Source organism: Homo sapiens, chromosome 21 (assembly GCF_000001405.40).
Source record: "Homo sapiens chromosome 21, GRCh38.p14 Primary Assembly".
NCBI lineage: Eukaryota > Metazoa > Chordata > Mammalia > Primates > Hominidae > Homo > Homo sapiens.
Window position 1 is genome coordinate 45,880,071 of NC_000021.9, and position 14,871 is coordinate 45,894,941.

At 51.3% G+C, this 14,871-nt stretch overlaps 1 protein-coding gene across 26 annotated transcripts in view, besides 4 other annotated features; it reads left to right on the forward strand.

Annotated features, from left to right (window-relative positions):
• PCBP3 (poly(rC) binding protein 3) overlaps positions 1 to 14,871 on the forward strand; it is a 298,726-nt gene that overhangs the window by 236,346 nt on the left and 47,509 nt on the right.
• Positions 505 to 1,309: an enhancer, noted in NCBI's record as "H3K4me1 hESC enhancer chr21:47300489-47301293 (GRCh37/hg19 assembly coordinates)". NCBI's record gives its function as "activates a minimal SCP1, AML or CMV promoter by ChIP-STARR-seq in primed H9 embryonic stem cells {active_cell/tissue: H9 hESC(primed)}" and the evidence as "EXISTENCE:reporter gene assay evidence [ECO:0000049][PMID:30033119]".
• Positions 8,853 to 9,726: an enhancer, noted in NCBI's record as "H3K4me1 hESC enhancer chr21:47308837-47309710 (GRCh37/hg19 assembly coordinates)". NCBI's record gives its function as "activates a minimal SCP1, AML or CMV promoter by ChIP-STARR-seq in naive H9 embryonic stem cells {active_cell/tissue: H9 hESC(naive)}" and the evidence as "EXISTENCE:reporter gene assay evidence [ECO:0000049][PMID:30033119]".
• Positions 9,727 to 10,599: an enhancer, noted in NCBI's record as "H3K4me1 hESC enhancer chr21:47309711-47310583 (GRCh37/hg19 assembly coordinates)". NCBI's record gives its function as "activates a minimal SCP1, AML or CMV promoter by ChIP-STARR-seq in primed H9 embryonic stem cells {active_cell/tissue: H9 hESC(primed)}" and the evidence as "EXISTENCE:reporter gene assay evidence [ECO:0000049][PMID:30033119]".
• Positions 12,077 to 12,798: an enhancer, noted in NCBI's record as "H3K4me1 hESC enhancer chr21:47312061-47312782 (GRCh37/hg19 assembly coordinates)". NCBI's record gives its function as "activates a minimal SCP1, AML or CMV promoter by ChIP-STARR-seq in naive H9 embryonic stem cells {active_cell/tissue: H9 hESC(naive)}" and the evidence as "EXISTENCE:reporter gene assay evidence [ECO:0000049][PMID:30033119]".

Sequence of the window (14,871 nt, forward strand, 5' to 3'; positions counted from 1 at the left end):
TGTTGTGTGGCGTGAGAGTCCATCCTGGTTTCGTGGCATTTTTCTCTGCATCCTTTTTATTGACAAGACGTTCCTGTCGTGAGTGGTTTTCCTCTGGCCTCTTCTGGGAGCTGGTGGATTTGCAAGTCACGGCCAGCCTTCGAAAGCAGGACTGTTGCCTGGTTCCCCAGTTGCCCTCCTGGAAAGCTCTACCCTGCTGGCCCTGGGCCTCGGAGGGGAGGGGAGCGCCTGGGGCGCCGCGGTCCTGACCCCACACAACTTCTTCTGCCATGGCCCAAACCCAGCCCTGTGCCGCCTCTGTGGGCCACAGGGACCCCCACAGCAGACCCCCAGCAAACCCTCAGTGACTGTCTGAATGAAAAACGCAGGAGTGGGTGGTGTGGGAGAAAATAGGATTACGGTGCTTCTGAGTATTGAGTTTAGAAATCGCTGAATTTCAGAACGTTCCACGAGGCCGTGGAAATTGAGCTGGGCTCAGTGCTCATGGTGTGAATCTGTCTAATCCTTAAATACATACTGCGCCCCCTTGTGGGCCAAGAGTGGTGCTGGGAACTGGGGATTCAGTGGTGAACGGAGGAGACACGTGTGCCCTCTGCCCTCTCGGTGCCAGGGTGGCCCCAGGTGACTGCAGCAGGGCCAGGAGAGACGGGGTTGTAGGTACAGCCTGGTAGGCAATACCCTCCAGAAGAAGGTCCTGATAAGTGGGTGGGAGAACTCACCCTGTCCCTGCCACGGAAGCCAGGGAGCCAGCGGGAGGGCAGGGAGCAGTGACAAACAAGACCAAGGGGGTAGGTGCTGGGCTCTGGACGGGAGGCTCAGGGCCGGGGTTAAACAGCACAGCAGTGGGAAGGTACCCAGGGGCTTCAGCACGGGGTGAGTCCAAGCTTAGAAGCTCACTGGCAGCGTCAGGCAGCTCATGCCCAGCCAAGTGCTCCTGAGTGGACATGCCTGGGCCAGCTGCGGGCCACAGCTGTGGCTGCTTTCCTGGCTGGCCTTCATCAAGCTGAGCGAGTTCCCCTCTATTCCTGTTTTTTTCTGAGCATTTTAATTTTTATCGTGAGTTGGTATGGAGTTTTGTGACAGGCTTTTCTGCATGCATTGATATGATTGTGTGCTTTCTTTAGTCTGTTAATAAGGTAGATTACACAGACAGATTTTCCAACTCTGAGCCAGCCTTGCATCACAGGAAGAATGGTTATAGCATGTAATTCTTGTGGTATATTGCTGAATTCTATGTGTTCATGTTTTTTGTGTGTGAAATTATTAAATCAAGCTAATTAACATATCCATCACCTCACATACCTTTGTTTGTGGTGAGGTTCGAGTGATCCTCCCACCTGTCTCCCAGGAGTTGAGACCACAGGTGCACTCCACCACACCCAACTAATTTTTTCAACATTTTGTAGAGATGGGGTCTATTTTGCCCAGGCTGGTCTTGAACTCCTAGACTCCAGTGACCTGCCTACCTCAGGCAACAGCCTAGGCAACATAGAGAGACCCCATCTCTATAAAGAATTTAAAATCACTCTCAGCAATTTTCAAGTATACATTGTTCTTACCCATAGTCACTGTGCCACACAGCAGCTCCCCAGCCTGTTTGACTCCCGTCTAACTGAACTTGTGCCAGTGACCAACAGCTCCCATTTCCCCCAACCCCCCGCAGTCCCCGACAGCCACCTCCCACCCTCTGCTTCTGTGAGATGCACTTTTTTAGATTCCACATGTGAGATCATGCAGTATTTGTCTTTCTGTGCCCAGTTCATTTTACTTGTTATAATGTCCTCCAGGTTCATCCGCAGTGACACAGATGACATGGCTTCTTTCTGTGTGTATGTCTGTGTGTGACATTTTCTTTATCCGTTCGTCTCTCTATGAACACTTAGGCTGATTCCACCATATCTAGGCTGTTGTGAGTTGTGCCACAATCAACACGGGCCTGCATGTGTCTCCTCACTATAGTGACTTTGGGTATATGCCCTGAAGTGAGACTGCTGGATCCTGTGGTGGTTCTATTTCTAGTTTTTTGAGGAACTTCCGTACCGTTCTCCATAATGACTGTACTAAGTTTCCCATCAGCACTGTACAAGGGTTCCCTTTTGTCCACCTCCTCACCAACACTTAGCTTTTGTCTTTTTGATAATAGCCATTCTAACAGGTATGAGCCGATATCCCATTGTGGTTTGAATTTGCATTTTTCTGGTGATTAGTGATGTTGTGCACTTTTTCATATACCTGTTAGCCATTTGTATGTCTCCTTCTGAGAAGCTTCCATTCCGTTTCTTTGCCATTTTTTTAAAATCTGGTATTTGTTTTCTTGCTATTGAGTTGTTTGAGTTCCTTACACATTTTGAGTATTAACTCCTTATCAGATGTTGTATGGTTTGCAGTTTTTTTTCCAGTTCCCTAGGTTGTCTCTTCACTCTGTTGTTTGCTGTGCAGAAGCTTTTCAGTTTGATATAATCCCATTTCTCTACTTTCTGCTTTTGTTGCCTGTACTTTGAGGGCCATATTTAAAAAAAAATCATTAACTAAACCAGTGTCGTGGAATTTTTCCCTGTGTTTTTTCTTAGTGGTTTTGCAGTTGCAGATCTTACATTTAAGTCTTTAACCCATTTTGAGTTGATTTTTATAGATGGTGTGAGATGAGGGTCTAATTTCATTCTTCTGCACAGGGACATCCAGTTTCCCCAACACCGTTTATTGAAGAAACTGTCCTTCCCCGTGTGTGTTCCTGGTGTCTTTATTGTAGATGGATTGGCTGCAGCTGCGGGGTTTCCTGCCAGGCTCTCCGCTCTCCTCCACCGGCCTGCATGTCGTTCTTACACCAGCGCCAAGTTCTGGTCTTTAGTATTTCATTCCTCTGCTTACTTGGATTTATTTTGTTCTTCTTTTATTAGATTCTTAAAATGAGTGCTTAGATTATTGATTGGAAGCTTTTCTCTCTTCAAATGTGTGTGTTTCGTGCCACAGGTTTCCCTCTCAGCACTGCTGTAGTTGTGTCCTGCGATTTTTGATATGCTGTGTTTTTATTTTCATTCAGGTCAATGTGTTTTTTGATGTTCCTTGAGATTCCCTCTTTGACCCTTGGATTGTTCATATATGTGTTTCATTTCCAAGTGCTTGGAACTTTTCTTGTTATCTTTCCATGATTGATTCTGGTTTGAGTCAGCTGTGGTCAGAGAACATACACTACGGTTTCAATTCTGTTAAATTTGCTGAGGTTTCTTTTATGGCCAAGGGTATGGTCTATCCTGGTATAGATTCTGTACATGCAGGAAGAGAGTGTGGATTCTGCTGATGCTGGACAGAGTGTTCCGGAAGTGTTCGTTAGGCCCCGTTGGTTGATGGTGTTGAGTCCTTCCAAATCCTTTGCTAATTCTCTGCCCAGTGGTTCTTTCAGTTGTTGACAGTAATAAAGTCTTCAGCTGTCGTTGTGGATTTTTATATTTTTCTTTTCACTACTATTAGTTTCTGCTTCACATATTTTACAGCTCTGTTATTTGATTCATACACATTTAGGATTGCTATTGCTTATTTAGACTCTTTTATCATTATGTAATGTCCTTCTCTGTCTCTGATCATTTTCATTGCTCTGACGTCTATTTTTTCCGATATTAATATAGCCATTCCTGCTTTCTTTTGATTAATGGTTGCACGATACGCCTTTTCCCATTAGTTTATCTTCAGTTTGCTTATATTGTTCTATTTGAAGTGAGTTTTCTGTAGACAGCATATGATGGGGTCATATTTTTAAATCCACTCTGCCCATCTGTGCTTCAATTGGTGTATTTGGACCATTTATACTTAAAGTTATTACGGTATTGAGATGTTAGGGCTTAAATCTGCCATTTCACCTTTTATTTATCTTTTGTATTTATTTATTTTGAGATAGGGCCCTACTCTGTCATCCAGGCTGGAGTGCAGTAGTGTGATCATGGCTCACTGCAGCCTCTTCTGGGCTGAAGTGATCCCCCCACCCCAGCCTCTCAAGCAGCTGGGACCACAGGCATGCACCACCATGCCCAGCCAATTTATTTTTATATTTTGTAGAGACTAGGTATTCCTGTGTTGCCCAGGCTGGCCTTGAACTCCTGGGCTCAAGTGATCCTCCCACCTTGACCGCCCAAAGTGCTGGGATTACAGGCGTGAGCCATCGCACCCAGCCTCATTTTTAATTTTGTTGGCTTTGTTTTTTGTTTCTCTGGTTTTAGTTTTTTCTTTCTTCCTGTGAGTCAGTGTACATTTTTTTGGAATTTTATTTTATCAGTAGCATTTTAGAGTATATATCTGTATGGCTTTCTTTTTTAGTGCTTGCTGTAGGTAGTATATCATATATATACACACATACTGAATACTAAGTATATAGCATATATATACACACACAAATATATATATGTAGCACATGTATATACACATGTATACATACACATATATAACATACACATATGCAACATGCATGCACATCTAAATATACATATATGTCACGTGTGTGTGCATGTATAATGTTTGAGACAGGATCTTGCTCTGTTGCCCAGGCTGGAGTGCAGTGACACGATCATGGCTCACTGCAGCCTCGACTAACCAGGCTCCAGCCGTCCTCCCACCTCAGCCTCCCCAGTAGCTGGGACCACAGACAGGCACCACCACACCCAGCTAATTTTTTAAATTTTTTTGTAGAGACAGGGTTTTGCCATGTTGCCCAGGCATATATGTGTTACCAATTCTACTGCTGTCAACATTTCACCAGTTGGAGGGAAGAAACTGTAACTTCCTTTATAATTTTTTTACTGTCCCTCATTTATGATGTAGTTGCTTTAAATATTTCCTAAGCATTCTGTACATATCAGACAATGCTGTAATTTTTGCATCAGTCATCAATCATAGTTTAGAGGACTCGAGAGTGAAGCCTTTCTATGCACTCACATGTTTGCCTACTATGTTCTTTCTTCCTTCCTGATATTCCAAGATTTCATCATTATTTCATTTCTGTTTAGAGGACTTAGGCCTTCTCCCAGCGTAGGCACGCTGGCAGCAACTTCTCTTCATTTTCCTTCATCCCATAATGTCTTTATTCCTGATTATTTTCACTGGATATATCATTCCAGTTGGCACTTCTGTCCTTTTCAGCACTGAGCAGTTCGGGGCCACGTCCTCCTGGCCTCCGTGCTTCTCGCCTGAAATCCACGCCATCCATTGTCTCCCTCCTGTAGCATGGGGTCATGTCCCTCTTGCTGCTTGCAAGAATTATTCTTTGCCTTTGGTTTTTAGACTCTTGACTACAATGTGTGTTTGTGTGGATTTCCTTGGATTTATCCTGTTTGGGGTTTACTCAGCTTCTCAAATATGTAGGTTTTTACTTTTTGCCAAATTTGGGAAGTTTTAGCCATTATTTTTTCAAGAGCCTTTATCCCCATCCCCTTTGTTCTCTTTTTCTGGTACCCTAAGGACATGAATGTTAGGTCCTCCCCATGTCCCACAGGTCTCAGGGGCCCCATCTGTGTGTCTTCGGTCTGTGTTCTCCCTCTTGTTGGGACGGGGTACTTTCTGTTGTTTTTTCTCACAGCTCCCTGCTTCTCTCCCCTGACTCTTTCACTCTGTTATGGTTCTTTCTAGTTCTGTCGTTCCCTTTCAGTTGCCTGCATCTCCCATTAGCTTGGTGGGAACTGGCTTCTCTGTGGAGGTATTCTATTCTGTTTTCTCATTTGTTTAAAGAGTGTTCCTGCTTGTTTGCTGAAGCATTTTTATGAAGGCTGCTTTCACTTCTTTGTCAGAGGATTCCGACAGCTCTGTCATCCTGGGGCTGACACTGTCTTTCATTCAGTTTGAGATCTTTTGGGTTCTTTGTATAACAGGTGATTTTCTTTTTGAAATCTGGACCTTCTGGATATTACGTTATGAGACTCTGGTTATATAAACCTTCTGTTTAGCTGGCTGCCTCTGATACTTCTCCAGCAGGGGAAACAAGAAGTGAAAGTCCAGGCTTTCCACTCGGCCTCTGCTGGTACCAAGGGCAGAGGACGTGGTGAGGTGTGGAGGAGGCCTCATTGCCGCTGGTACCAAGGACAGAGGACATGGTGAGGTGTGGAGGAGGCCTCGTTGCCGCGGGTGCCAAGGGCAGAGGACGTGGTGAGGTGTGGAGGCCTCATTGCTGCGGGTGCCAAGGGCAGAGGATGTGGTGAGGTGTGGAGGAGGCCTCATTGCCGCGGGTGCCAAGGGCAGAGGATGTGGTGAGGTGTGGAGGAGGCCTCATTGCCGCTGGTGCCAAGGACAGAGGACGTGGTGAGGTGTGGAGGCCTCATTGCCGCGGGTGCCAAGGGCAGAGGATGTGGTGAGGTGTGGAGGCCTCATTGCTGCGGGTGCCAAGGGCAGAGGATGTGGTGAGGTGTGGAGGAGGCCTCATTGCCGCGGGTGCCAAGGGCAGAGGACGTGGTAAGGTGTGGAGGAGGCCTCATTGCCTCTGGTACCAAGGGCAGAGGATGTGGTGAGGTGTGGAGGAGGCCTCATTGCCGCTGGTACCAAGGGCAGAGGACGTGGTGAGGTGTGGAGGAGGCCTCATTGCCCCGGGTACCAAGGGCAGAGGATGTGGTGAGGTGTGGAGGAGGCCTCATTGCCGCTGGGCAAGGGTGGGAGCTCTGGGGCCCTGGAGGCCTGTGCAGAAACCTCCCTGCTCAGAGGAGGGGGCTCCCTCATTACTGACCCCGCATTGCCTCCACTGACACCAGGGGGCAAGGACTCACCACCTGTGGAGATGAGAGCCTCTGTCCCTGCTCAGCCTGCTCTGAAGCCACCCCCGCATGGGGTTCGGGAGCCTCTTGACAGCCTGGTGAGGGCGGAGGTCTAGGCTCTGTACGCGGCCTTTGCTGCGTGGGTGGGGAGGGGCACCGTGTCCTCCGTGGTGCCTGGTGGAATAAAGGAGCTGCTGCTCAACATTTCCAGCCTCACTGTGCTGTCCCTTCACTGACCCTTCGGCTGCAGAAAGCAGACTTTTGTTGAGGCCCTTTTCTTGTCTGTGCCTGTTGGCATTTCCGGCTTGCCAGCTTTTCCACTTCCAAGTCTGAGAGACATAGAGAAAGCCCAGGGGTTCACCACCACGCTGTTCCCTGTGTGCCCTGGTCCCTGGCTAGTCTGCCTTTCCTACGCATTTCAGTCTTCTTGTGTTTGTTGTGGATACAATATCCAGGCTGTTTTGTTGTTTTTAGCAGGAAGGATTGGGAAGCACTGTGTGCTCCATTTCCCAGAAGCAGCAGCCTTGCCACTCCTTTTGTGCATGTGGCATCTGAGAGCACAGATGCCGGAGCTGCTGGGGCTGCGCCAGCTTTGCCCTGCTCAGCTGCGTCACCAGAGCAGGCCCTCCAGCCTCTCCAGCATCAGTCCTTCCATCTGTAAGACAGGGTGATGGTGGCTCCACACCTCATTCAGTTGGAGGGACAAGTAAAGGCATCAGCAGACACCAGCTGCTGAGGACAGGCCCAGCCAGAAGCAGACAGGAGCTCTGTGGCATGGGGGACACTGTCACCAGTGGCCTCGTTCCCCAGCTGTGCACACGTTGGTGTTGGTTTCCACTGGGCACCCAGGCAAACAGCGTCGCCATTCCGGGCACCTACTTTTTGAATGTCTGTGCCTTTTGTGGGAGAAGAGATTTCTGCAAACGTAATTTCTAGTTTAAAGTTGGCAAGCATTTTAGGCTATTGGTGCATCCTGCCAGGTCGCCCTTTATAGAGGCTGCAACTACTACGCACTCCCTAAGCTTCCCGGAGAGCCCTGGCTTCGTGACGACCTCACTGTTGTCACAGCTGCTCTTATCAATAGATGTCTAGTACCAGCCCACGGCGAAGAGAGACGAGCCAGACTCTGGAAGGTTGGGCCGCCTTTCCCTGACCTGCCCTTGCAGCTGTGCTTGCAGCTCTGTCCTCCGGGGATGGCCCTGCATCGCTGCTGACCCATGGGCATTTCCGGAGGGGGCTAACGGTTCTCAGGGTCTCTCCTCAGGAGCACTGGGGTCCTCACACTCTGCTGGGTACCTGTCCTGGCCGTGTACGAATCCCAGGGAGGCCGCACAGGGCAGGGGGGTCTGCCCTAGCTGAGCCCTGCTCTGAGCCGGGCCCTCCTCCTGCTCCTGCAGCTCTTGAGTGTCACCTGTTTCTGTTACTGTAATAATGACATCTCCTTTCTTGGGAAGGCACCTTGCTTACCTGTTTTTCTTCAAGGATAGCACAGAGCCTAAAGCTTAGTGACTGCCTAGGAAATATTTGTTAAAATAATCAAGTTATTAATTAATAACTGGCGTTACCTCCAGAGTGGATTTCAGTCTGCTCCTTGCATTTATGGGTGCCCGCGGGTGGGAACCGGGGCTAGAGCAGCTCACCCTGCTCCTGTAGTCCCACCTCCCACGCCACAGCAGGGTGAACTGGCCCCTCACTCACCTGGGTCTCCCAGCCGGGGCCACCCACACGCCACCGCACACAGCACCTTCCCCACGGCAGATGCCTGCTCCGGGGCAGGGCCCTGCTCCACAGCGACACAGCACGTGATACCACAGGCAGCTTTCCTCCCGCCAGCCTCCTGTGTGCAGCTTCAGTGCTTTTAGACCCGCAATTGGAGCTGAATTCTTAAATCCCTGGTGGGTTTTGAGTGAAGCTGAAATGAATAAACATGTTCCACACGTGGACAGTATCTATACATGGAATGATTATAAAGTTTGCACATCAAATCACACGTGGACAGTATCTACATGGAATGATTGTAAGGTTTCCACCTTAAACACACGTGGACAGTATCTATACATGGAACGATTATAAAGTTTGCACATTAAATCACACATGGACAGTATCTACATGGAATGATTGTAAGGTTTGCACATTAAACACACGTGGACAGTATCTATACATGGAATTATTAGAAAGTTTGCACATTAAATAGCCCTTGTATGTTAGCTTCCTAAATACACCTTTATGGGCTCAATACCACTTTGCCATAAGCAAGTAAGTAAAGAAAGGAATCTTTCGTTCTGGCCCGTGCACTGTTGCATGACTGGAGCTGTGTTGATGCCCTCATCCTGGGTCTGTTTCGTCTGTGGAGACAAAGAGCGATGTGTGTGGGAGTGGGGGTTCAGGCAGGAGCGCTCACAGGGGCTTCAGAGACGGTGGAGTGGAGAGAGGAGCTGTTAAATGTAAGTGCCCCGAGCTGCCGTCAGCAGCTGCATGCGGGCCAGCAGCCTCTGATTTGCCTTCCTCCGACTGCAAAAGTCGTTAAATCACATCAAGCCTGGGGCCTGCTTAGAAGCTGTCAGGACCGTCTTCTCTACTGTTCCCCTGATGCCTCCATTGTGAAGACCCAGCCCAGCTCTGAATGCAGGGACAGCACCTGTGCTTCCTGGCAGATGCAGCTCAGAGCAGGAAACCTGGTCTCCACCTTGGGCAGACAGCAACGGTGCAGGCAGTGTGGTTGCCTGGCACCCCTTCCTCCCCTCCTCATGGCCAGGGCCACGGCCAGCCTCCTCCTCCCTTCTTCTGCAGCCCGCCCTTGGGAAAGGATGCTGTGGAGTTAGAGGCGGGGAGCTTCAGGCCTGGCTGCGTCTTTCCCTAGCTTGGGGACCTTTGAACAATTCCTGAGTCTCCCTGCCATGGCTCTTGTGGCAGTACATTGCGGTGGCTACAGATGTTTGTTGCCGTGAGTGCTGCTCAGCCCTCACGTGCTTGTCCATCTGCCTGTGGCACTGGCATCCAGGGAACAGCTTTCAAGTACATGGAGATTTCACCTGCAGCTTCTGATCCCCCCAGATTCTCTCCAGTGTGACTTTAAGGAAAAGATACTTATGAAAACCAAAGGGAGCTTTTAGAAGTCAGCGTAGCTCCGAGACGGAGGCCTGTTTCTGCTCTGTCTTGGAGCTGACAGTGGCTCCAGCCAATGACCCCATTCCTCCAGTAGCCCTCAGTAAGGAGTGCTGTGTCCCTGACCTCAGTACTTGGCCCATGCCAGGGGCTGGGACTGCGTCTGTCACTGCCAGGGTGGGAGACGTGGCCTCGCAGCTGTCTAAGGGGCAGTTTCCAGCAGCTACTCTGCTGCGGGAGAGAATGGAGCAGACAGGTCATGAGGCCAGCATGAGAGCATGGGGAGGGGTTCTGCCTGGCCACACCCTGCAACTAGACAACACTGCACGCCCGCTGGGCAGCACAGAAAAGGCTGAACAGACCAGCTGTTGGCGGGGCCGTGGAGGAGCTGCAGCTCTGTGCGCAGCTGAGGGAAATGTGGATAACAGAACCTGGAACTCGGTGCACTTAGGGGGATGTGGATAATACAACCTGAAACCCTGCGCTGCTGAGGGGAATGTAGATAATAGAACCTGGAACTCTGTGCACTGCTCAGGGGAATGTGGATAATAGAACCTGGAACTCTGCACAGCTGAGGGGAATGTAGATAATAGAACCTGGAACTCTGCACTGCTGAGGGGAATGTAGATAACAGAACCTGGAACTCCGCATTGCTGAGGGGAATGTAGATAATAGAACCTGGAACTCTGTGCACTGCTGAGGGGAATATAGATAATAGAACCTGGAACTCTGTGCACTGCTGAGGGGAATGTAGATAATAGAACCTAGAACTCTGCATTGCTGAGGGGAATATAGATAATAGAACCTGGAACTCTGTGCACTGCTGAGGGGAAGGTAGATAATAGAACCTGGAACTCTGTGCATTACTGATGGGAATGTAGATAATAGAACCTGGAACTCTGTGTGCTGCTGAGAGGAATGTAGATAATAGAACCTGGAACTCTGCACTGCTGCGGGGAATGTAGATAATAGAACTTGGAACTCTGTGCACTGCTGAGGGGAATGTAGATAATAGAACCTGGAACTCTGTGCACTCCTGAGGGGAATGTAGATAATAGAACCTGGAACTCTGCACTGCTGAGGGGAATGGAGATAATAGAACCTGGAACTCTGTGCATTGCTGAGGGGAATGTAGATAATAGAACCAGGAACTCTGCATTGCTGAGGGGAATGTAGATAATAGAACCTGGAACTTTGTTTACTGCTGAAGGGAATGTAGATAATAGAACCTGGAACTCTGTGCACTGCTGAGGGGAATGTAGATAGTGGAACCGCCGTGCCGCAGTCTTGAACAGTTTCTTAGGAAGTTCCACGTGCTGCTTCCGCAGGATCCAACCGTTGTGCTCCTAGGTGGTACCTGCAGGAAATGGAAGTGCTTCCATGAGAAGAACTGTGCACAAATGTCTAAAGCAGCTTTACTCGTGTATCCCGCCTTGCATACAGCTCGAATGTTCTTCACTGGTTGAGTGGAAGAGCCAGTGGTGGTTTTTTCCCACGGTGGAATTCTAAACAGAAAAGAACTGTTTATATGCTCAGCAGCGTGGATACATCTTCTATAAATACTAAGAGAAGCCAGACACAAAAGAATACTTACGACATGATTCCCTTTGTGTCGACTTCTGAAAGTCCAGGAGTCTATAGTGACCGCAAGTGGGCACCTGTCGGCGGGCAGTGGCGGGTGGAGTGGGAGCACGGACCACAGGGGACCAAGGACTGCAGGTTCCTGTGAGCCACTGTGGGACACCCCAGGGGTATACACGGGCAAGATTGTCACACTGTAGACTTGAAGTATGTGCAGCCTATTAACCATCAATGATACCTTTAAAAGGCCATGACACCACATTACACACGCAAGGTTAAACGGTGAGTCGGTCTGTGCCACTGCACGGGGCCATCAGAGCTCTCTCTGAGCGCCTCCTCCCCTGGCCCGGCCCCTTCTCCTGCACAGCCCCGGGGCCTCTGCGCCCCTTTGACCTCAGCCTCCTGGGCTGTCTCAATTGCCCTGTGCCTGTCACCCAGTGGGAGCAGCCCCTGAGTCAGGACGTCCACACAGCCTGCCTTCCACAGAGCACCACCGGCCTAAAATCACCACAGGGTCAGAATCTAATGTAAGGGGGGTTTATTCAAAGGCAGCTGGAGGCTGGCCCACCCAGAAACACCAGCTCCAGAGAAATGGAGTCCACCCTCGGGAGTAGGGAGGGGAAGGGTGCCCTCGGGCAGGCAGAGGCGGAGGCTTTTAGCAGGACCGCGGCGTCCTTCCTACGAGGTGGGCGCTGTCACAGCGTTTGATGGACGACGGGCAGTGCCTGCTTCAGGGAAGGGTGCATTTAACCTGTCAGAGGGTGCGGCAGTCACCGTTTCCTGTCTTCTGGTCCTTGCTTATCAGGACAAAGGGGAAGTTCCTCTACAAGGGTCATGAACTAAGAAGGCAGGAGGTTTCTGCCCCTGGCATTGGTTAATTCCCTCCAGTCATCGTGCAGAACAAGGAAACAGAGTGCATTAGTCCCTGGCCTGAGAAAGGGGAGCTGCAAGTGCACGTGAGGGGCGCAGTCCCGTCTCTGACGGGGCGTGGGGGGGGGGGCGGTCCCGTCTCTCACGGGGCGTGGAGGGCGCAGTCCCGTCTCTCGCGGGGCTTCATGTACCAGACCGTGTTCATGTTCACACCTGGGAGGAGGGGAAGCAGGCATGGTCTGTGCGGCAGGTCCAGCCAACCCACAGGGCCTTGGATGAGTCTCTGCAGCTGAGGCTGGCACTGCCAGGGCTGACCCCAAGGCTGTGGCTAAATTGGGCTCCCAGCACTGGCCCTGTGTCCTCCGTGAGGAGATCTGCACCCCAGGTCTATGCATGGACTGTCCCCACCCCCAGGCCCCAAGCTCAGCTCCCTTCAACCTGTGTGTCCTCAGGGCACCTTCACTCCATCCACCTGGGTCTCCCCATCTTAGTGACCGTCTCCACTGTGGGTGCCAGGACCCTCTCTACTTCCATGGCTGTGCGTCAGGGCCACTGTGTGAGCTGGAAATCAGCGCAGGGAACTCTGGAGAGGGGAGGGAGTCCTGGGGAGGGGAGGGAGTGCTGGAGAGGGGAGGGAGTCCTGGAGAGGGGAGCCGATAATAACAGGGAAGCCCCATGAGGAGGGACCATGATGGAGCGAGGACTGAGTGCAGGAAGGAGGGTGTTCTAGGCCCGGGCAGAGAGGGGAGTCTCTAGGGAGGAGAAGTGCCGGGGGCTTTTACCCTCAGGGCCTATGGCAGTTGTGGGGTGATGGATGAGGCCTTAGACTAAACTCTGAGAGAATGGGATGTGGAGAGTTGTCTTGAGCAGGGAGGGAGTGGGGAGGAGGGAGGGGGCTCTGTGTTGCTGGTTGGAGGCATCCCTGGCACCTGTCACAGCAGGGGCTGGAGGGTGGGGCAGGAGCTGGGGGCAGTGGGGGTGGAAGAGGATGCAGAAAAGCTCAGATTGTGCCTCACATGGTGGGTGGGGCTGCTGGGCTTGTTAATGCATGGGATGGGGTGGGTCAGGAGTCGTGCTGGTCACATATGTCAGATGTGGGTGTCTGAAATCCCCGTGGCCACAGCTGTAGGCTGCATCCCCTGGGAGCTGGGGTGCAGAGTGTGTTCTGGCCTGAGGCACATCTGCAGATGGTGGTCCACAGACCCCCTGGGCAAGTGCAGACAGTGGGGAGGCAGGTGAGGGCCCCGGGTGCAGACGGGGGGTGGGGATGAGGTGGGTGGGGACCCAGGCCCTCACGGATGACTGTGCCTGTCCCTTCTCCCTGTCCCATTGCATGGGCTAAAATGTGCTAAATCTCCAGCACTGGACGGGACAGAGGGAGGGACCTGGATGGACCAGAGCTCTGCCTGTTTCTGGAACACAGTGTGGGGAGGGGCGGGCAAGCCTCAGAACGGGCTCCATTCTGAGAAACGGCCAGTCCCATGGGGCCTTGGATGCCAGTGGTCCGAGCATGGGCTGCTGCAGGCTCTACTTCAGCCCTTCATTTCCTGGTAGCCACTGAGCTGCCCCATGGACACTGGGCAGATGGCCAGTGTTAGCTGGGAAGGACAGCAGCAGCCGCAGAGGTGGCAGCAAGGCCAGGGCACTTTGCAGACGGCATGGACGGGTAGGTGCCTAGGGAGAGCCAGAGAGTGGTTGATGCCTCGTCCACCCTGGCCTTCCGAGTGGTCTGCAGCTCTGGGAGCTGCTGACTGGAGCAGGGTAGGTCCTCTGGGGCTCTGGGCACTGAGTCCCAGGTGACCCGCACGGCACAGGATGGCCTCTCACTCATGCTGCCCTTGCAATGAAGAGAGGCACAGGCTGCAGCTCGCTGGCCTGTGTGACTGATAGAGGCTGACAGCCTGGAGCCCCAAGCACCCCTGGCAGGAGCTGACCCACTTTCCCTTCCCTGGGCTGGAAACCTTGACATAACAGATGGCTGCAGGGCCCTGCTGTCCCTCTGATGGGGAGGAGAGTTTTTAATTAAAAGGGAGGCACAGAGCTCCAGACCAGCCACACCGAGATGCAGTCCATGTGTGCGGGTCCGTCGGCACCCACAGGTGAAAGGGTACAGCCAGGCTTATCTCAGGGTGCCCATGTGCACACAGAGGTGCTTCTCAGGGGCCACGCCATGCATTTGAACTGATACTCTGCTCTCCTTTCTGAGATCTGTCTACACGAATGCACTACTTAGAATGAGTCACTGAAGCAATGGTGTGAGCTGTGCTGTCCAGCAGAGCTGTCCGCGCTGCCAGAAATGGCCTCTCTCTGTGCTTTTCCCCCAGTAGCTGCCGCCGCCCACACGAGGCTGTTTGGCACTTTAAATGTGCTTGTGGATGTTTAGTTTTAAACTGAAAAAGGCACATGTGGCTGTCCTGCTGCACAGTGCAGCGAGAGCATTCTTATGCAAGGGTGATCTTCGGAGCCCTTTGTGCTACGTGAAGTCCTCCTTAAATGCAACGTGAAAATCCTTGTCCTTCAAAGTGTCATTTTATTACAAATAATAATGTAATAAAATTACAAATTAATACAAATACTATTACAGATAACA